At 43.5% G+C, this 21,370-nt stretch overlaps 1 protein-coding gene and 1 pseudogene across 1 annotated transcript in view; both read right to left on the bottom strand.

The window, feature by feature from the left end:
- MOCOS (molybdenum cofactor sulfurase) overlaps positions 1,311-21,370 on the bottom strand; it is an 84,661-nt gene continuing 64,601 nt past the window's right edge. The window contains exons 12-15 of the mRNA NM_017947.4: positions 16,395-16,500; positions 13,293-13,431; positions 6,615-6,719; positions 1,311-4,935 (exon numbers count right to left, since the gene is read on the bottom strand). Coding sequence (NP_060417.4) covers positions 4,783-4,935; positions 6,615-6,719; positions 13,293-13,431; positions 16,395-16,500 — 503 coding nt within the window. The 3' untranslated portion in view covers positions 1,311-4,782. The remainder of the gene's footprint in view (positions 4,936-6,614; positions 6,720-13,292; positions 13,432-16,394; positions 16,501-21,370) is intronic.
- RNU4-3P (RNA, U4 small nuclear 3, pseudogene) lies at positions 8,529-8,731 on the bottom strand (annotated as a pseudogene).

Here is a 21,370-nt window from a genome sequence, read left to right as displayed (position 1 = left end):
TTCATAGTATTGTCTTTATGAAGACAAATTTCTCTCAAGCCTGAGCACCATTTGCCCTGAACAAACATGTTTGTTTTTATCTTCTGGAAATTGTGAATTTGTTGACTGTATGTTTACCGCCCCGCCCCTCCTCCCCCGTTTTTTTTTTTTTTGTTTTGTTTTGTTTTTGTTTTTGTTTTTGTTTTTGAGATGGAGTCTCACTCTGTCGCCCAGGCCGGAGTGCAGTGGCGCGATCTCCGCTCACTGCAAGCTCCGCCTCCCAGGTTCACGCCATTCTCCTGCCTCAGCCTCCCGAGTAGCTGGGACTACAGGCCCCCGCCACCATGCCCGGCTAATTTTTTGTATTTTTTAGTAGAGACGGGGTTTCACCGTGTTAGCCAGGATGATCTCGATCTCCTGACCTCGTGATCCGCCCACCTCGGCCTCCCATGTTTCCCCCTTTTGAAGATACCAGCATGCTCAGATTCAAATTTTAGGTCCACCTCTGACAAAATGCCTAGAATGTTATCATGTGACCCCACTCTGTTTATTGTATACATATTTTCCCTCCCCTCAAATGTTGTTTCTCCCTATTAAGGGGTTGTTATACTCCCAATAAATATATAAACCTACTATGTACCCACAAAAATTAAAAAATAAAAATTTAGAGGAAAAAAGATATTGTTATAGTACTAGATATACTTTTGCAGGCCCACATTTTAAAAAATGAATAAAGGTGAGAATAACTCAAAATTTAGTAGCTGTAATAAGAGAAAAAAATAGCTTGCTTTCTGAAAAAGCTACAAGGAAAATACAATTCATAAGTTCCAGACAACACCACCAGCTACCAACATAACAAATCTTTCAGCCTAAGGGCAGGTCCCTTCTCTCATCCATCTGCCTTTGGCGTAGTTACAATGACAGAGATGGTACCTCAGCAGGCTGGCACCTTTTCTTGCTCAATGTTTGCTTTTAATTTTTATTTCATTTTTTAAAAATTTTTATTTTTTTGAGACGGAGTCTCACTCTGTCACCCAGGCCGCTGTGCAGTGGCAGGATTTCCGCTGACTTCAACCTCCGCCTCCCAGGGATCAAGCAATTCTCCTGCCTCAGCCTCCCGAGTAGCTGGGATTACTAGTGCACACGACCATGCCTGGCTAATTTTTATATTTTTAGTAGAGATGGGGTTTCGCCATGTTGGCAAGGCTGGTCTCGAACTCCTGACCTCAAGTGATCCACCCACCTTGGCCTCCCAAAGTGCTGGGATTACAGGCATGAGCCACCACACCTGGCCAATGTTTGCTTTTTAAACAAAGCAAAGAAAATTGAGATGAATTGTTCCAAAACGTTTTAATTATCATGAATATCATAAGTCATACAAAAAAATAAAGAATAATACAACCAACACTCATGCACCTGCCATCCTATAGCTTAAACATACTATATCACATCTGACTATTACCTAGTCTGTCTTTCCCCAATTAGTGATGCCTCTATAGTGAGATCTATAAATGTTGGTTCTGTTTCTTTTGTTTCTGAAACTCTAGAACCTGTTCAGTACATATTGAATAAAAAAGCAACTTTTCACTGAAAGAGAAGGATAAGCGGACATCTTTCAACAGCAGAAAATGTATATCACTGCCTGTTCTTCTCCATCCACAAGGCTGAGGAGGGGATGAGGCTGACTCTCAATGGGGAGAAGTCAGCACCGCCACCCTCCTTAAAGGATTCTTGATGCTCACCAAACTATGCAAAAGAAAACCTCTCTTCTGGCTAAAAGGACCATGACGCGAATGCCCAGAAAGACAAGTTATTGTCTGTTCTCACCAAGTTTTTTTAAAAAAGGACTTTTTGTGACTCTAACACCAAGGTTTGGTGTTAGAATTAAATTCAAGGGACATGACATTGTCTTTGATTTTGTTATACACTTTGAGAAGCACATAAGGCTGAACTCCAGGAGATAAGAACCAAGGAGGGGACATAAAATCATAAATGTCCATAAACTCTGAATATGAAGCCACTCTACAGATACACAAAGTACATTTTTAGCTGAAACTTCATACAAGAAATATTGAAGGTAGACACTAAAGAAAAAATGCATTTAAAATTCATTTTAAATTAATAAAATATATTTAATTAATATTCAATCAATTAATGATAAAAATAGGGGCAGCTTTAAATAGTCTGTCAACAAATTTTGAGTATTGTCTGCTGACACTAGAGATATACTGGCACAGGACTTGTCCTCATGGAGCTTACAGTCTAGTGAAAACAGATCAATGTTAAATCAGTAATTATAAGTAGATAACCAAATAATAGTGCTGTAAAGGAGAGGATCTGCATTAAAATGTCTGAAATCAAAAGCTGGGCACAGTGGCTCACACTTGTAATCCCAGAACTTTGGGAGGCTGTGGCGGGAGGATGGCTTGAGCCCAGGAATTCAAAACTAGCCTGGGCAACAAAGTGAGATGCCATCTCTACCAAAAAGAAAAAAAAGAAAAAAAAAATTAGCTGGATGTGGTGATGTGTGCCTGTAGTCCCAGCTACTTGGGAGGCTGAGGCAGGGGAATCGCTTGAGCCCAAGAGGTCAAGGCTGCAATGATCTGTGATCATGCCACTGCACTCCAGCCTGGGTGACAGAGTGAGACCCTGTCTCAAAAAAACAAAAAGCCTGAAATCAGTCATGAAAGTATCTACTGCAAAAGGTGACATAGACGTGGATAAGAAAAACATATTCTTGATGACAAAAGTGACCTAATTTTTTTTTTTTTTTTTTTGAGATGGAGTCTTGCTCTGTCACCAGGCCGGTGTGCAGTGGCATGATCTCGGCTCACTGCAACCTCCGCCTCCCGGGTTCAAGCGATTCCCCTGCCTCAGCCTCCCAAGTAGCTGGGACTACAGGTGCATGCCACCATGCCCAGCTAATTTTTTGTATTTTAGTAGAGACGGGGTTTCACCGTGTTAGCCAGGATGGTCTCGATCTCCTGACCTCATGATCTGCCCACGTCAGCCTCCCAAAGTGCTGGAATTACAGGTGTGAGCCACCGCACCTGGGCAAGTGACCTAATTTTTGTAGAGCATGCCTTCTTACTTGTTTTCCATCATAATTAATATGATGCATTTGTCAGCGGAAGGTCTTGGAAATGGGGCAATGTGCCATCTGGAAAGTTCCCTCCTGCATGAAACTGGCCTGAGTAGGTGGATAAATCCATTACTTTAGGGCATTGTTCTCCTATCAGTTAGCTGATGAGGACAAGTCCACTCATATGATGTGGCAGTGCTGAGTCTTTGAAGAGGTTGCGTTTTTAATAAACAGTTCAAAACAATAAACCCCACCCCACCCCACCTAACTTCATTTGCCTCTTCTTTCGGTGATCTCAGGAACCAGAGTCAGAGTTGTACTTTTTACCCTTAACTCTTCACAGCACGTGAGTGTGCAATCATTAGGCTCCATCTCAACAATCCTTGAGAACAGAGCACACCTCATCTTTCAAATCTCACCTAGTGCTGGGAACAACACAAAGTCCTACAAATGTGATAATGAAACAAACTGACCCTGAATCCCACAGGCTCTGAACAGATACATTAGGGAAGCCTGAGCCTGGAGCCTGCTCTCCAACTGAGCAGCAGGAGAGATGGGGTGGCACAGGCTTTCAAAAGATGCAGTGGGCTGCAGCAGGCAGACATTTGGGGGAGAAGTGACTGGAAAAATACAACCATCCAGGGGGAAGATGATGAAGGGACTGGGTTCACACATGGACAGCAGGCTTCAGAAGGACGCCAGCAGAATGAATGTGGAGTGGATGTACTCACTCTGCATTGCTCCAGAGGACAGGGTAAGACCCCAGGCTGGAAGTCATGCAGAAGCAGATAAGGCACACACAAGCTCCGCACAGGGAGAAACTTCTTAGAAACTCAGCGGGATGGGTAACTTCATTAGAGAATGAGATTTCCTCACTGGACATTTTCATCTGGAGGCTGCAGGAGCAGTGGTCAAAGATGATACAGACAGGATTCCTGAATGCCAAAGTTCCTCCCTCGATAGGATTTGGAGGCTCTCGGGTGATGGACCAACACCATCCTGTGGGCTTGTGGAGGGGAGGATGACAACCTGCATAAGCACAGCCATCACTGAGTGTAACTTCAGGCTCGTGAGCCATCCTCAGTGCATCAACTCAGTGGGGGATGAGGACGGAGGCCAGGGATGGGAAGCAACAGGAAAGGAATTGCTGGCCTGTGCCTTTGCTCAGAATATAAATATTCTGGTAGAAACTCCCCTCAAGGAATGTGGTCACAAGTTACCCTCTGGGCCCCTGAGCATAAACCCACACCATCATGTACATGGGAGGAGAGGAGCACCTTCTCATACCCAGGATCACTGGGCATAGACTCCCTTCCTCACTACAAACGGGTTGGAGAGATCCAAAGATGCTCTCTAAAAACAAAGTAACAATGTGAGAAAATGGCAAAATAGGGACCCGCAGTAAGTTCAATCTTCCCAGTGAACTTCATTAAAAATTTCATCTGATTACAAGTGATTATACTTCAAATACCTACAGGAGCCTCACTGGATGTGGGTGCAGCATTCGTTCCTGAGGCCTCAGAAGTGCTCTCCTGAGCACAGCCAGTGCAAATTTGCAGGGTGAGAAGTCAAAGGCAGAAGGAAGCAGGTGAGAGCATTCCCTGCCTCTAAAGAAAAAGAGCTCTCCTTATTCAAAACATCAAGTTCTACTGAACCAAGTTGCAGATCTTAACAATAATAGAGATCACTGTAAAAGAGAAACTTTATGCTAAAAATTTTTTTTAGGAGGTAACATCCTGGTGTTTCTCAGATGCAGGTAAATCATGACCTTCCACATTCTCTTTCAACACAGGGAGCACCTGAGATCCTACAGACAGGAAACATGGGGAGGATAAATCCAATGATGCATGCATCAGGTACATGCCAAAGTTCACCTGTGAACAAAACAGCAACAACAACAAAAAAGGCTAGATTATTTTAGCAATTAAAATAACTTTGTAAATATTAATGTTTAACTAAAATCAAGTCAGATTTTTAAAGACATATACTGAGACTTGATATCTCCTATCTGTTACACAGTAGAATGCACTGGAACATTAAGAGAATCCTAACTTTAGACCCCAAAGATTCTCATTCTAAGGCATCCTTTCCCTGTGGTCACCCCACACCTCTTTCTTGCTGGGCACATCTCTGTCCCACATGCCCTGAACTTCCTGCAGAAGGACTTTCTTCCTACTCTCAGCTTGTGACCACCATCAGGCCCATTTCCTGTTTGCTGCCTGATGTAAAAGCCTTTTGGGGAAGACAGTGGCAGAACTCTGCATTTTCCTTGAGAAAGAATGATGCAAGTTAATTTTGTCAAATTCTCCTGAATAAGGATGGAAGGTCCAAAATGAAGAGTAGGTAAGTCTGCTCAATGTTAACCATCAATGCAAGTGAACCACTCAGGACCCTTTGGAGGACTTGACATGCTCTCCGATCTGTTAGTTCTTGTGATAACATCTGTTGGACACCCTCATGTTCCAGGCCCCAGGCTAGGGGATTGGGCCAATTCCTCATGATTTGTACAAATGTGGGTGAAAAGTGCAGCCTCTGCACTCTCACTGCAACTGTTCCGTAAATCTAAAATTATTCCAAAATTTAAAAATAAAAGGTTCATCATGCACATGAAAATTGCAGTGATGCTGAGAAACACTATTTTCATGGACCTTAGTATTGTATTTGTGCCTTCTTCTTTCTTCTCCTGGCAACCTGCATGGTGCAGGCTCAAGGTCCCCACACCCCAGACAACACAGCCTGCATTGACAGACATGCTGCTGTAACAGTCAAATGCACTACTCTGCAGGCCATTTCTATCCCATATTGGTAAGAAAACTTACATAAATCAAATGTCTATACTGTGAAACAAAACCCTGGCTTTGAAGAAACACAGGAAACAATGTAGCACATTTTACCATGAATTAACTTGCCAGCTTATTATTGGAAGTAGATACAGTGTTTGCATTATTTCTGTTAATTTTCAAGAATTGTTCTATGTAGCCTGACTGCTTTTCTTGGCTTCCTGGAATTCTTTGAAAACAAAAAGTCCTAACAGAAAGTATAAGCCTGAAAATAAATCTTTCTAAAGAATCAACACATTGGAAGTTCAGTTTCTATAATCTGGAATTCATAACAACACTTTGTTGTTTTAACCCTCAAGAAAATGAATTTCCAGGCTTAATGAATGTATTTCCAGTTTAATGAAATGTACTGACTCTTTCTATGCAGCTACTCTATTCACATTAAGGCACTTTACTCTTCATGAGCTCTCTGTGTTAAAGAAAATAATGATCAAGACAACAGAATTACTTGTTTTTTTTGTACTCCATATCTCTTCAACAAGATTGGAAAGCATAAAAATACATGAAGTAAAACAAAAAAAAGTGAGAACTTGGATGGAAAGGAAAAATAAAATGAAACTACAAACAAGGATAGGTTAATGGCAGCCCAACAGCTTTGGATGGGCAGCAAATCCCCCATTTAAAAAAATAACTCTGTGCTATTATGAACATAGTTCTGGTATTGATAACACCAGGATTGGAAACCAGGTGTCATATTTTGCAATCACGCTTACCTTTGTTTCACGACTCTCAGAAAGTTTTTGGAAAACATGCTGGTTTCGTTGCCCAGTTTGCTGGTCGATGCAAATCATCTGGCATCTGTGACAAGGCCCCAAAACCTGGCAGGTGAGAAGGAAAACACAGCGTTGCCACAAAAGTGACCAGAGCCTTGCACCTCAGAGGGAGGAATCACACAGAAATGCCCAGTCCCCTAACTATGGAGAGCCAGAACGTGGCACCTGTTCACCGTCTCTGCTGGGGAATCATCTGCATTTGTTTGTCAGCTAAAAGACCACTGCTTAAGGTCTTTGCAGACAAAGAAAAGAGGGACTGAGATCTTGACGGTTCTCAGGAAATGTTGGAGAATGGATTTGAGGAAGGAAAGCACTCAGTGACTGGGAAGACAAATTGGAAAAAGAGAAAAGTTGCAGAAAGCCAGCATGGTGGCTCACACCTGTAATCCCAACACTTCGGGAGGCAGAGGCGGACTGTTCACTTGAGGCCAGGAGTTCAGGACCAGCCTGGACATCATGACAAAACCCTGTCTCTACTAAAAATACAAAAATTACCCAGGCGTGGTGATGCATGCCTGTAATCCCATCTACCCAGGAGGCTGAGGAAGAAGAATCACTTGAACCCGGGAGGCGGAGGTGGCAGTAAGCCAAGAACGCACCACTGCACTGCAGCCTGGGCAACAGAGCAAGAAAGAAGAAAGAGGAGGAGGAGGTCGCAGAGCCAGCGCTGGCCCCTGTGAGAAGGTCATCAGAGAGAACTTTCATGTGTCAATGCCCGCTGACCCAGCAACTTCACATCTAAAAATCCAACCTAAGAAAGGAACGAGAAGCCCAACCACAGTCATGGACAAAGATTTATCCTCACATTGTTCATAATAGGAAAAACTTGTTAACATCATTAACGTCATATAGTGGAGAGAAATGGTTAAGTAAACCATGCTACATATATATGATGTATACGGTTCAGGCATTAAAATTATATCATGCACGTATTAAAAGGAATCTATAAAAACCTTTAAATAAAATGGGGAATTGTTTTTGTAACTGTAATAAGTAGGAAACAAAATTATTTTTAATATACATATCTGTATGCATATATATATATATATATATCCATACGTACCCACGCCTACATGCCACACATACACAATACTTAAAACGCATTGTTACAATTTCTTAATACAGGTCATACTGTCTGGTGGAGCTTAAAATCCCCCATAATATAAACATCAAAAAGAAAGCATGCAGCTCAGCAATAACGAGATGCTTCTTTTATTGCACATGTAAAAAGTGCAAAGGTACTTGATTTTCTTAAAACTATTTTCTCATAACCATTTTCTCCTCAGCTCACTCACGGGCAAATACAAATTATGCACTGAAATTAGAAACACTCACCTAATCTGGATGTGTCTTGGCCTGTTCCTGTTACTGGTGTGAAAGTTGCAGATACCAGGATGAAATCACTGATTAGACCCGAAGAAATTGGAGCCAGGATGGCACGAAGGCAGGGAGTTCATGCTTGCATTTCTGAGATAACGACTGTCTCAAGGACTTTCTAAAATAATCCCACAAGAAATTCCTCCATGTCCTTCATGCATCTCATGCTTTTCATGATCCATGTCTTGCATGTATGCACGTATTTCTAGACAGGGTTTATCACTAGACATTCTTCAGGACTGCAGCAGTTCAGATAAGATGCTCTTAAAGGAACATTTGCCCAGTAACAGCGTCTCCACCAATGAACTGATGCCAATTCTGGCTGTGAGCCCCAGGAACCAATAAATTCTGTTTTCAAGCAGCTTGTATGACTTTATTTTTGCCAATAAAAGCTTTCCCTTACTCTCTCCTCTTCAGGTGCACCTGTGGCTTGCCATAGCTATGCATCCTAGTTTATAATCCTTTTTGCTTACTCCTGAATAAATTCGTCACATTAGGAGATCATTTTCTCTGGTGTGTTTTTTAAATTTTATTTTGTTTTTGTTTTTAATTGGGAAAAGTTTTCAATTAGCAATAATCACACCTCAGAAAAACCTCATTGGCTCTGATACTGGCACTGTACAAAGCTCTAATTTTTTTTTTTAGGTTGACGCTCACATTCTGCACTGGGTACTAAATCAGCGGAAATATATGCTCCCTGTGGTACCGAAGTCAAGATTCCCAGGCCACGTAAGCACCCAGAACTTGCTGGAAAGGAGCTCTACCAAGGACTTGGCAAACCTGTGACCTCTCCAGATATCGTTTCCTTGTCTAGATTCTTGGCTGTATTTGGTGAGAACTACATCAGGGATACAAGGACTCAAGCCCAGGCCTGGCACTTGACCGTGCTCGAGAGTGGAAACTATCACTATTATACACGAGGATCCCTGCAGTGGAACGAGGCTTTTGTAACGCCACAAAGCTGTGTCCTCGAGGAGCCAGTGTGGCTCCTGCACCCTCTTACCTCTTACCTCTTTGCCTAGAAAACAGCTGATGCATGGGGCCAGCTCCTGCAGAAAGGATGCCAGGGCCCTGCAGCTTGCACCAGCCCCAGCCTCTAGCAGCCACCCGACAGGCAACAACTTCTGTAAAAATCCTGTCACTTCAATGAAAGGCCCTCTTAGAACAGTTTCTCAAACTAGCAGAAGAAAGGGGCATTTTCTGGACACTATTTTCTTTTACCTTTTTTTTTCTTTGTGAGGTGAAGTTTCACTCTTATCACCCAGACTGGAGTTTCACTCTTGTCACCCAGGCAGCTCTCTGCAAACTCCACCTCCTGTGTTCAAGCGATTCTCCTACCTCAGCCTCCTGAGTAACTGGGATTACAGGCACCAGCCACCACGCCCACCTAATTTTCATATTTTTAGTAGAGACGGGTTCTGCATGTTGGTCAGGCTGGTGTCAAACTCCTGACCTCAGGTGATCCGAGCACCTCAGTCTCCCAAAGTGCTGGGATTATAGGCATGAGCCACCGCACCCAGCCCCAAACACCAATACAAAAGAAACAATTTTCTTAAAAAATCTTCATTTTAAAGCTTCTTTTCTGGTATTCTTAGCAACTAGTATTTTTAAAATGTGTTTACTAGCATATATATTCATTAAAAAACAAGTCAAACAATACAGAAGCTTGAAGAATTAAAAGAGAAAGCACTCAACAGCAGTGATCCCCCTCTCCCCATCCACAGAGACAGGTGCTGCTCATGGGCTGCAGACCATCCCAGGACATCCCAGATTGTCCCCGGCCATCCTAGGACATCCAAACCATCCCAGACCATCCCAGACTGTGTCATGTAACTGCATACAACTGTGTATGTGCACCTGTGTAAACACACTCGCTGGGATCTCAGAGCCCACTTGGGTTTCTTTTTCAATTACTCTGCAATATGCAAGGACATCCTTCCAGTCAGGACATAGAAAGCCACCTCATCCTTGCATTTTGCAATTTTCACAATGGATGGCCTGGCATTCCATGGGTTGAAACACTTAGTTCTTCTCCTTTGAAGCCATGTGAATAGTTTCTAATGCTTTCCTGTGATCAATAATTTTGCAATAAAGGCCTAATTCACATAACTGTCTTTCCTTTTCATTTTTTTTGTAGTATCAGTCTCCCAAAATGAAATTATAAGGTCAACAGGAATAAAAAATATTTATGACTTGATGACATCCAGTAAAAAATTGTTTTCCAAAAGAGATGTGCTAGTTTCACAGTAATTGCTTCGGCACTGAGTATTATCATCAACAAACATCTTTTGAGCATTTGCTTTTTTTTGAGACAGGGTCTTGCTCTGTCACCCAGGCTGGAGGGCAGTGGCTTCATCATAGCTCACTGCAGCCTTCATTTCCCAGGCTCAAGCAATCCTCCCACCTCAGCCTCCTGAGTAGCTGAGACCACAGGGATGTACCACCATGCCCAGCTAATTTTTTAATATTCTGTAGAGATAAAGTCTTGCTGTTTTGCCTAGGCTGGTCTCAAACTTGTGAGCTCAAGTGATCCTCCTTCCTTGGCCTCCTAAAGCATTGGGATTTCAGGCATGAGCCACTGTGCCCAGCCAAGCATTTACTTTCTTGAAAGGCACAGTATTGCCAAGCGTGGTGGCCTATGCCTATAATCCCAACACTGGGAGGCTGAGGCTAGCACGTCACTTGAGCCCAGGAGGTTGAAACCAGTCTGGCCAACATGGTGAAATCCCATCTCTACCAAAAATAAAAAATTTAGCCAGGTGTGGTGGTGCACGCCTGTAGTCCCAGCTACTCAGGAGGCTGAGGCAGGAGGATTGCTTGAACCTGAGAGGCAGAGGTTGCAATGAGCCAAGATTGCACCACTGTACTCTAGCCTGGACAACAGAGTAAGACCCTGTCTCAAAAAAAAGAAAGGTGCAGTATTAACCATATCTTATGCTCTTTAATGCTCGTGCTGGACTAATGCATATAGCTATTATTGATTGACTGATTGACTGACAGGATCTTGCTCTGAGACCCAGCCTAGAGTACAGTGGGGCAATCTTGATTCACTACAGGCTTGAGCTCCTGGGCTCAAGCAATCCTCCCACCTCAAGGAGCTGAGACTACAGGCGCACATCACCGTGCCTGGCTAATTTTTCGTGTGTGTGTGTGTGTGTGTGTGTGTAGAGAGAGACGAAGTCTTGCTATGCTGCCCAGGCTGGTGAAAATAATTTTATACTTATTTTAATACTTGTATTAGCGTTTCTATGGGATAGATTTCTACAAGTGAAATTATTGAGTCAAAGGGCATGCATATTTTGATTTTTACTAGTTGTGGTCTATTAAGAATGGTGACCTAAAGAAAGCAAAGCCTGCTAAGTCATCTCAGAAAGGTTCCTTAAAGAGTCTTCCTTATATTTATGTCTCGAGATACCTGGAGAGGCACAGGTGCTACTGTTGCCAGGTAAGTTTCTGAGAGTAATCTCAGTCTAGTTCTAGTTCTCTTCCCTTTTTTTTCTTCCTTTCTTCCTCTCACTCTCCACCTATTTGATAATGTATATTTAGTGTCTATTTTGTTCCCAGCAGGATGTGTAACAGTAGGCATTTTTTTAAAAAACATGGCAGAGACACAGGGATAGAAAATAAGGAAGAGTAAGTAAGGATGGAGGGATGAGGGAAACGGCAGGAGGGCTAGTGCCTGAGATGGGCTTGTGGGAGAGAATGTAGGACATAATATAGATTGCTTGTCAAGGGGGAGCCACTGTCAGGGTAAGAGGAAGTCTAGGGAGTTAAAAACATCAAAAACATCATTGGAACATTTTATTGTGCCATGCAATTTATTTCCTATACCCCAGATCTCTAAAATTCTTTAATAAAGATTCAAATGACTGTTTACTGCTTTCCTAGATGTTAGAGTGGTGTTCCTTCTGAGTGCAGAGCCTGAATACAAGGTAGCTCGTTATAGTCAGTTTATACCAGTGGCTAATTACACTACCACAGGTTGAGTATTCCTTATCCAATATGCTTGACACCAGAAGCATTTTGAGATTTTTTTTTTAATTTTGGAATATTTACATTATATATCTCTGGTATACTTAACCAGTTGAGCATTCCTAATTTGAAAATCTGAAATCCAAAATGCTCCAGTGGTCATATTCTTTGAATGTCATGTCAGTGCTCAAAAAGTTTTATATTTTAGAGCATTTCAGATTTCAGATTTTTGGATTAAGGATGTTCAGCCTGTATTATAAAAATAATTTCAGCCCCCACTAAAGAACAGAGCACATTCTCTGGCATTAGATATTCCTTATCTCTTCTGTCCATTTCTTCCCTCAACAATTACTTATTGAGCACTGACTCTGGGCCAGTGTCATTCAAGGCCATAGAGGTACAGCAGGGAATAAAACAGACTTGGTCTCACCCTCCCACACACTGCAGGAATAAGCAGAACGTGACCCTGCGGCAGGTCAGGGGCATCCTTTCCAAGAAGGTGACATCTGAGCTGAGACCCTTGGACAACATGCTAAGCAGAAGGGATGGCAAGGGCTAAGGCAGGAAGGGTGGCTGTTTAGGGAACAGAGAGAAGGTCACTGTGACGGAGGCAGAGAGGGAAGGGGTGATGAGCTCAGAGACAGTGGCAGCATGGGATCTCGTAGGGCCTTGTCAACCATGTGAGGAGCACAGATTTTAGCCTAAGACCTTTCGCCTCTTTCTCATATCTTTGAAGCCCATAGCCAAAGGTTTTGGGAGTCCAAAGCCAGGGACAGAGGACATCGTGGTGGCTTTGCCTCTGACAATCTCCTTCCCAGCCACCAGCAAAGGCAGAAAAGGTGAAGCGTGTGGAAGAGTGGGTGGCCATGGGCAAAGAGGCACCGCCAGGCTTCTGGGCCTCCCTCCACAAGCTCCAGACTGCCACAAAGTCCAACAAGTTTCAGGAGGATGACAGTCTCATGACACAAGCATTCCAAAAAACCAGAGTTTAAGTCTGGACATAACGACAGCACAGAGGCAGTGTCGAGCCCTCGCACACCTTCTGTGGTGTGTGCGAAACTGACTGCTACCATCCTCTTGGGAAATAAAGGATGGATTATTCCATGGGGTGTCTTAGAAGGCTAAGCTTACATAACCTCCCACCAAGATTTTGTAGTTAAGAGACAAGGACTGGGAGGGAGTCCCACCTGCAGCTATCCAGGTCTGGGATTGAGGTCAATCTTCATTGACAACCCTGGAGGAAGGATAATAGAACTTCCCCAAACTTACCTGGAAACGCAAAGAGCCAATTGAAATCTCATCCCATTTCTCTTCTTCAAAAGCCCTTTTTCCATTGATAATAATATTGGCACGAAAACGCAAGCTGAGATCCTTCAGTGAGAATAATTCCTCCTTTCCATTCTCATCACTGATTAAAGCAACCAAAAAGAGTAAGTAGGGGGAGGATGGCAGATAATTGTACCACTATAATAATTCATCATGCCTGCCATGTAACACCTAACTTCATCAGCTCTACTGTGGCCTGTGCCCTGGATAATCAAAACAGACTTTTACCATGAGTGCAAGGCCAAGAGACACCCATCTGCTAAACAGGCATCAGGGCCTCCCCTGGGATACGGTCCCATCTCCAGTGAGAGTCCCACAAGAGCCAGGCAAAGGGCGAGCAGATCTTAGCTGAAGAGATGAAGGACTTTGGAAATCAGAAGAACAGAACTCCAGTGAAAAAGGAACTTCTGAGAACACACCAGTTCTATAAGGTGGGGCGGCATAAGGCATTTAAAAACCTGTCAACAGGCTTAATGATCAAAGACCTAAGAAGCACTGAGATCTCATTCCCTTTTTTCCCCCTTCTTTTCACAGGTGTTGAGATCTCACTCTTTTTTTTTTTTTTGGGTATTAAAACATTATAAATAAAGAAGATAGTATTTCCTAATTTCCATTCTATTTGCAGTGTAACATCTGCTATTTTTCTGATACCTTTTTTTTTTTTTTTTTTGAGACAAGGTCTTGCTCTGTCACCCAGACTGGAGTGCAGTGGCACAATCTCAGCTCATTGCAGCCTTGACCAAGATCCCAGGCTCAAGTAATTCTCCTGCCTCAGCCTCCCAAGTAGGTGGGACTACAAGCATGTGCCACCATGCCCAGCTAACTTATTTTTACTTTTTTTAGAGATGGGGTCTCACTATATTGCCCAGGCTGGGTTTGAACTCCTGGGCTCAAGTGATCCTCCCACCTCAGCCTCTCAAAGTGCTGGGATTACAGGTGTGAGCCACCATGCCTAGCCTATTTTTGTAACTCTTATTTTTGTAATTTTTATTTATTGCCATGAGGTTCCAAAAAAAATGGCCCTCTGCACCCCCCACCCCCACCCAGAAGAACGCACTGAAAATACATCTTAAAACTTCTCTGACAAAAGAACACATCCTGTATGATCCCACCATATTAAGTTGAAGAATGGGTGAAACTAGCTATGGTGAAAGAAGTCAGAATAGTGGTGACCTTCAGTGAGGCTGACTGGGATGGGATACAAGGGAGGTTTCTGGAGTACATTCTTAGCTTGATCTAGGTAGTGGTAGTTGCTGGTGAAGATCCAAAACACTTAATGTGTTTATCAGCAGATACTTTGCCTCATTCAACAGAGGAAGGGTGGCTGTTGTACCAGGAGATTGATCTGAAAATGATGGAGCATAGCCGTATACATCTGTAAAACTGTATTTAACTGTGTACTGATGACTTTTGCACTTTTTTGTGCTTCAATCAATTTTTAATTGCTTAAGTTGGTGTGAGGTAAATCCTCAGGCATGGTTAGAGTATGCGCCAGAGACAGGGTTGAAAGACTATGGGGTTGGGAAGGAGGAGTCCCAATCTCCTTTGAATGGCAAACAACGTATGAAAAGCCAGAGACCGGGATACCTGAGTCTGGTTTTGCCACTTACTAAGGGCAACTCCCACAACCTATGAGGACCACAATTTCCTCATCTGCAACAAGAGGATTAGCACTTTTCCAGTCCTCAAATCCTTTGATTCTGGATCAACTCTCTGGGTTATAAACCCTCACTTTGGGCTTCGTAAAAGGGCATGTTTTATGTCCAAAAGCTATCATGGTTAACATGTGCATGATAGAGTCCCTCAAATTTGCAAATAAAGCACAGAGAAATACCTAGCAGGGGACCCTAGCTCTGCTCTTGGATCAGCTGCCCAGCGGGTCCACCCTGCTATAAACCAGATGGTGGGGAACGTGGCCCCTCCTGGTAGGAACTGGGGTGACAGCAAGCCTCTCCCCACCTCCTATCTTTCCACACGAAGAACCCCAAAAAACTGCAGACCCACTTTTTCCAGGACTCTGGATGCCTGAGGAGAAGGGTCCCTCAGTGCCAGAAGAACTCAGTGAATACCCAGAGAACATGTGGCTGCATCACACTTTTGCTCTCAAAGATAGCGAGCTGGGCCACAGTATGAGAATGATGTTGTATATTTTCAACAATGGATAGAAACAAGAGTGACTACAAATAGCCCATCCCTGCAGAGGCGGACGAGGTGGCTTAGTCAGCTTTATTAAACTGTATTTGTATGTCTTTGCAAATATGTATGTGTGTGTACTTGACCACGTGGTGCAAGACAGTCACAGGACCCCCAGTTCACAGTGCTGTTAGGGGTGAGCCACTAACAACACTCATCTCTGGCCTGTGGACCAGGAATGAGGAGCCCGTCCCAGTCACCCTGTGGCATGAGAGCTGGGTGATTTTTCCTCATTGCCTGGCTACCTTGGGACTTCAGTTTGCTCTAAAGAACAACGAGAGGGTTGGCCCAACCATGACCCTTTCTGGAGCTGACCTCCCAATGCTGTTAGGGTCCTTGGGAGAGCACTGGGTGGGAGTGGGCAGGGAGGGGTGCTAATTCCATCTGTGGTGCATCTTTCAAATAAAGTGTGCCTGCAATTACAACTTTAAAAGCTTTCATAACCACTCTTTTTTAGCCTTTAAAATGACTGTGTGAAGTAGGGCAGAGATCCTCGGGGACAGGGGATAGTGGGAGGGTGGGCAATAAAAGTTAGTCAAGTTGGTGGCAATTCAATTAAAACAAACATTAAGAAATTGAATGATTAAACAGTGAGAGCTAGGGGTTCTCCATTAACCATCTTGAGGATATCAAAAAGGATCTTTGTAAGATAAAAGATAACCCTCTATAAAGATGAATGGAAGCTGGACAAAAGGGCCTGCTTACTTCTCAGGGCCTCAGTTTCTCATCTGTACATGAAGCAGGGCTGAACTTCATGACTCTCAGATCTCTCCGCTCCAGGCAGGTGCCAGGCCCTGCTCCCAGTGGCAAATGGTTATGCTTGTCTGCTAGTCCCGAGGTATGAGGTCTTACCTGGTGTTTAGTTGCCGGTGAAGTTCCAAAATACTGGATGTGTTGATCAGCAGATACTGTGCCTCATTCACCAGAGAAAGGGTGGCCATTGTACCAGGAAGTTGATCTGAAAATGATGGAGCATTTAAAAGAAGAGTTGCTTTCTCAGAATGCCAGTGAATCATGTTTCCATAGACTTGTATTTTTTTAAAAGGTAGAGACTATTTCTACAAGGGAAAAAAAGTGATGTCCTGGCAATAATAAAAATGTCCTAAGCATGGTGCATATCTCTCAATAAAGAGGCAAAAGGAGATTCTAGAATACTCTGTTTAAAATAACGTGGAGAAAATAACAATAAGGGCTGGGCACAGTGGCTCAGCACTTTGGGAGGCTGAGGTGGGAGGGTTACATGAAGCCAGGAATTCGACACCAGCCTGACCAACATGGTGAAACCCTGTCTCTACCAAAAATACAAAAATTAGCCAGGTGTGGTAGTACACACCTGTAATCCCTGCTACCCAGGAGGCTGAGGCAGGAGAATCACTTGAACCCATGAGGCAGAGGTTGCAGTGAGCCGAGATCACACCACTGCACTCTAGCCTGGGTGACACAGCAACACTCTGTCTCAAAAAAATTTAGAAAATTAAAAAAATAAAATGAAAAATGCTGAGATGAAATTGTTCCAGCAAATTAGACTTGGAGGCAAGACTTCGAGGAGGAGGGATGACAGCAGGCGCATCCTTTCCCTGGATAGGACGGAGCAAGGCAGAGAGCCCTGGTGAGGGCAAAAGGCCCAGGAAGAGCTTCTGAATCTAATCAGGGAAAAGCTGTTTGCCCTTGGGCAAGTGCCAGATATTGAGTTTAGAAATAGATAGTAGATGTTTAAAAACTACTAAAAGGGAGGGCTAGGCGCGGTGGCTCACTCCTGTAATCCCAGCACTTTGGGAGGCCGAGGCAGGAGGATCACCTGAGGTCGGGAGTTCAAGACCAGCCTGACCAACATGGAGAAACCCCATCTCTAGTAAAAATACAAAATTAGCTGGGCGCAGTGCCACTTGCCTTTAATCTTAGCTACTCAGGAGGCTGAGGCAGGAGGATCTCTTGAACTCAGGAGATGAAGGTTGCAGTGAGCCGAGATCACACTATTGCACTCCAGTCTGAGCAATAAGAGTGAAACTGCAAAACTGTCTAAAAAAAAAAAAAAAAAAAACTACTAAAAGGGGGACGAAACTATTGAAAGAAAATATTAAGTGTATTCAGAATAGCTGGCACCCTATCACCCAGTTCCCATCTCCCTTTGGCAGGCCCGGCATCACTATCATTATCCAAGATATTGAAGAAAAGGTTTGCCTGGACCAGGACCTACTGAGTTGTTTCCAAATCAGGTGTGTGGACCCCAGAGTAGACGCAAACGGATACTTTTGAGAGAACTGCCCTCCAGATCTGCCACTTGCATATATCCTCTTTGCTAAAACGGCTCTGCCAGAGAAGGGAGGTGCAATCCCAGCCCTGTCCACAAAGACCCTTCCTCTTTCACAGAGGAAAGGCCAAGGTCTCCTAAAGCACACTCCCTCAGGGACCAACAATCTCCAGAGTGGAAGACAAAAGCCCCATTCAAAACCCTGGAGTCCGAGCTGAGAAAATAAAAGTCTCTAAAGCTTGGGCAAATGATCCTCCTGTAGGTCAGATGGATTCCAATTATTTGCTCTCCACAAAACTGCAGGACCTAATTAAGTTGTCAAGAGACAGATGATGAAAGGCATTTCAATCTTAGAGTCCAGTGCTTCGGTCACATACTTCAGAAGCAAGGTTTGAGTGACACTGCACTAACGAAACTCCTTTCCCTAGCCCTTTATTTAAGCGTCTCAGAAGAGACCCGAGGCTGAGCACCAGCTATTCTGGCCATGAGTGACAGTCATTCATGGGAATAGGAACAAATGGCAGGGTGCCCAGCCACCTCATTAAGAGGCTCATTTTCGCTAATTTTTTTCTTACGTTTAATAATTATTTTTCAAAAGTTATAATATACTTATGTTGCTTTGATCAACTGTGTACTACGAAAAATTATGGGCTGGGTGCAAAGGCTCATGCCTGTAGTCCCAGCACTTTGGGAGGCCAAGGTGAGAGGACTGCTTGAACTCAAAAGTTGGAGACCAGCCTGGGCAACATGGCGAAACCCCATCTCTATTAAAAATAAAAAATAAAAAATAAGAACTCAATGCAGAAGAAATTTCCTAGCACTTAAACTCTTACAATCACAGTAAACTTTAAAAAATGTTTATCCATGTCAATTTATATACACATTTTAATTTCACAGAAGTATGATAGGGTAGTAGTCAATGAAAGATTTCCAAGCACAGAATATATAACACTAAGATAAAATTCTGTTGAGGGCATGGAAAGGAAATACAAGTTGCAGAAGGAAAAGGAAAGAAATAAAAGACTGACCACTAAAAGACAGTTCGTTCATATATATATGTGTGTGTGTATATATATATACACACACACATATATATGAAAAGGAAAGAAATAAAACTGACTATTAAAGGACAGTTTGTTCTCTCTCTCTCTCCCTCTCGCTCTCTCTCTCTCTATACACACACACACACACACACACACACACACACACACACACAGAGATAATGTATTTTGTAATGAATACTCACGAGATTCAAATTGTTGTGGTTTAAAAAAATGCTGCAGTATTGAGATTCTACTGGCTTTGTTGAAAAGAACAATGTACAAGTTTAAATTTAAAATGACAATGTTTACAATATACTGGAAATCACATCCTTTGTAGCTGTTTAAACTATTTTTAAAATTTAGATGACAACGTAAAAATTTTAGTATGAGTGAGGAATATAGTTTTAAAAAATCCTTCTAAGGTATACCAACTCAAAAAAACTGTTTCAAGACCAATGGCTTAGACTGCCAGAGAACATGGGACCCTAAGGGGTGTCCTCTAAGTGTAAACAGTCACAAGCTGACACTCCCTGATTCTGCATCGTGCAGGGAGCAGGAAGACAGGCTTTCTTCTTTCCTCTGCACCTACCACCTTTGTTCCACCAAGGCCCCATCTCCCACCAGGACAGTCCCAGCTGCCTCCCACCTGTGCCTTTACTGCCTGAGTTTCCCACTCGATGCAGCCACCTCGCCAAGTCAGGGCTGACTTTCTAACATAAGCAGTGTTATGAAGCTTCTCGGCTTAGAATCCTCCAGTGAGTTCCGCAGCCACAGGTAAAGGACTACTGACTCCTCAGTGGCACACTCAACCCTTCTCCCCATCTATCCCCCGTCACTCCCCTGCTCACATCTGACCCTCTAAACCCTTCTCTGAGCCCATGAATGCCAAGCCCTGCCATGCTGCTCCCTGGTAACCATCCCGCCTGTGACTGCCTGAAAAATTCGTACTCTCCTTTTTTTTTTTTTTGAGACAGAGTCTTGCTCTATCACCAGGCTGGAGTGCAGTGGCGTGGTCTTGGCTCACTGCAACCTCTGCCTCCTGGGTTCAAGCAATTCTCCTGCCTCAGCCTCCCAAGTAGCTGGGATTACAGGCACTTGCCACCATGCCCGGCTAATTTTTGTATTTTTAGTAGAGATGGGGTTTCACCATGTTGGCCAGGCTGGTCTTGAACTCCTGACCTCGTGATCTGCCCGCCTCGGCCTCCCAAAGTCCTGGGACTACAGGCGTGAGCCACCGCGCCTGGCCTCCTACTCTCCTTTTAAGTTGCAGCTCCAAACTCACCTCCTCCCTGAAGCCCTCTGTGACTCATTCCAGGTGTAGAGGATTCTGCCCTTCGCATAGACCTTTATTACATCTCTTACGTTGCAGCATTGCTATCTGCTGGCAATTGATCTCACCAACGGAGACTCCAAAGGACCAGGACTAAGGCTTAACTATCTCAGCCAGCCTCCTGAAACCCAGTAAACCCCAGGTAGGCAATGGGTGCTATGAATAATTGGCACTTAGAGATTTCACTGCTGCTCACTTCTCCAGATAATTTACAAGGGTGGTACACAGGTCCTGACAAATCCTACTCCTTTCATGCCTCTACCCCTGGAAATGCCTATTTCTCTCTCCCTTTAATCATGTCTCTAAGCTTATCCATACCCCAACCACCACCATCTAACTTCAATAAAATGAGTATAAATCTATTCCCCTTTTCTATCACACAGCAACTCAAATTCTTAACAGCTTATGGCGTGAAAATCATCAGAACTTTAAAAACTCTAAGTACATTACATCCTTTGACTCCTCTCTATAGCATACACTTTCAGGGATTTGTAGGTTAAACTATGCAGGGCCTTAGACCCAGTTTTCAGTCCATATATGGTCAAATGCCATTTGGTTTATTTATGTTTTAGAAACATGAAACATAAAATATTGCTGTCAGCCAGGCTGGAGTGCACTGGTGTGATGATAACTCACTGCAGCCTCGAACTCCTGGGTTCAAAAGATCCTCCCATCTCAGTCTCCCAAGCAGCTGGGACTACAGGTGCATGCCACCACACCTAGCAATTTTTTAAATTTTTTTTTGAGACAGAGTCTCGCTTTGTCACCCAGGCTGGACTACAGTGGTGTGATCTCAACTCACTGCAACCTCCACCTCCCAGGCTCAAGTGATCCTCCCACCTCAGCCTCCCAAGTAGCTGGGACTATAGGCATGCACCAGCATACTTGGCTCATTTTTGTATTTTTTGAAGAGATACGGTTTCATAATTTTTGTATCTTATTTTGCAGATATAGAGTCTTGCCATGTTGCCCAGGCTGGTCTTGAACTCCTGGGCTTAACCAATCCTCCCTCCTCAGCCTCCCAAAGTGCTGGGATTACAGGTGTGAGCTACCACACCCAAACTCTAAATGCTATTTGGATTACAAACTAGTTCCTCTGGGAACTGATCACTAGGCCAGGTAATATCTGAACAAACTGGTAATCATTCATTCATTCATCTAGCCATGTATTGAGCAACTATGTGCCAGGTGCTATTTTAAGCAT

This window comes from Homo sapiens, chromosome 18, assembly GCF_000001405.40.
Source record: "Homo sapiens chromosome 18, GRCh38.p14 Primary Assembly".
NCBI classification, from domain to species: domain Eukaryota; kingdom Metazoa; phylum Chordata; class Mammalia; order Primates; family Hominidae; genus Homo; species Homo sapiens.
The sequence above is the reverse complement of the archived record's forward strand: the minus strand, read 5'-3'. Positions and strand labels throughout refer to the sequence as shown.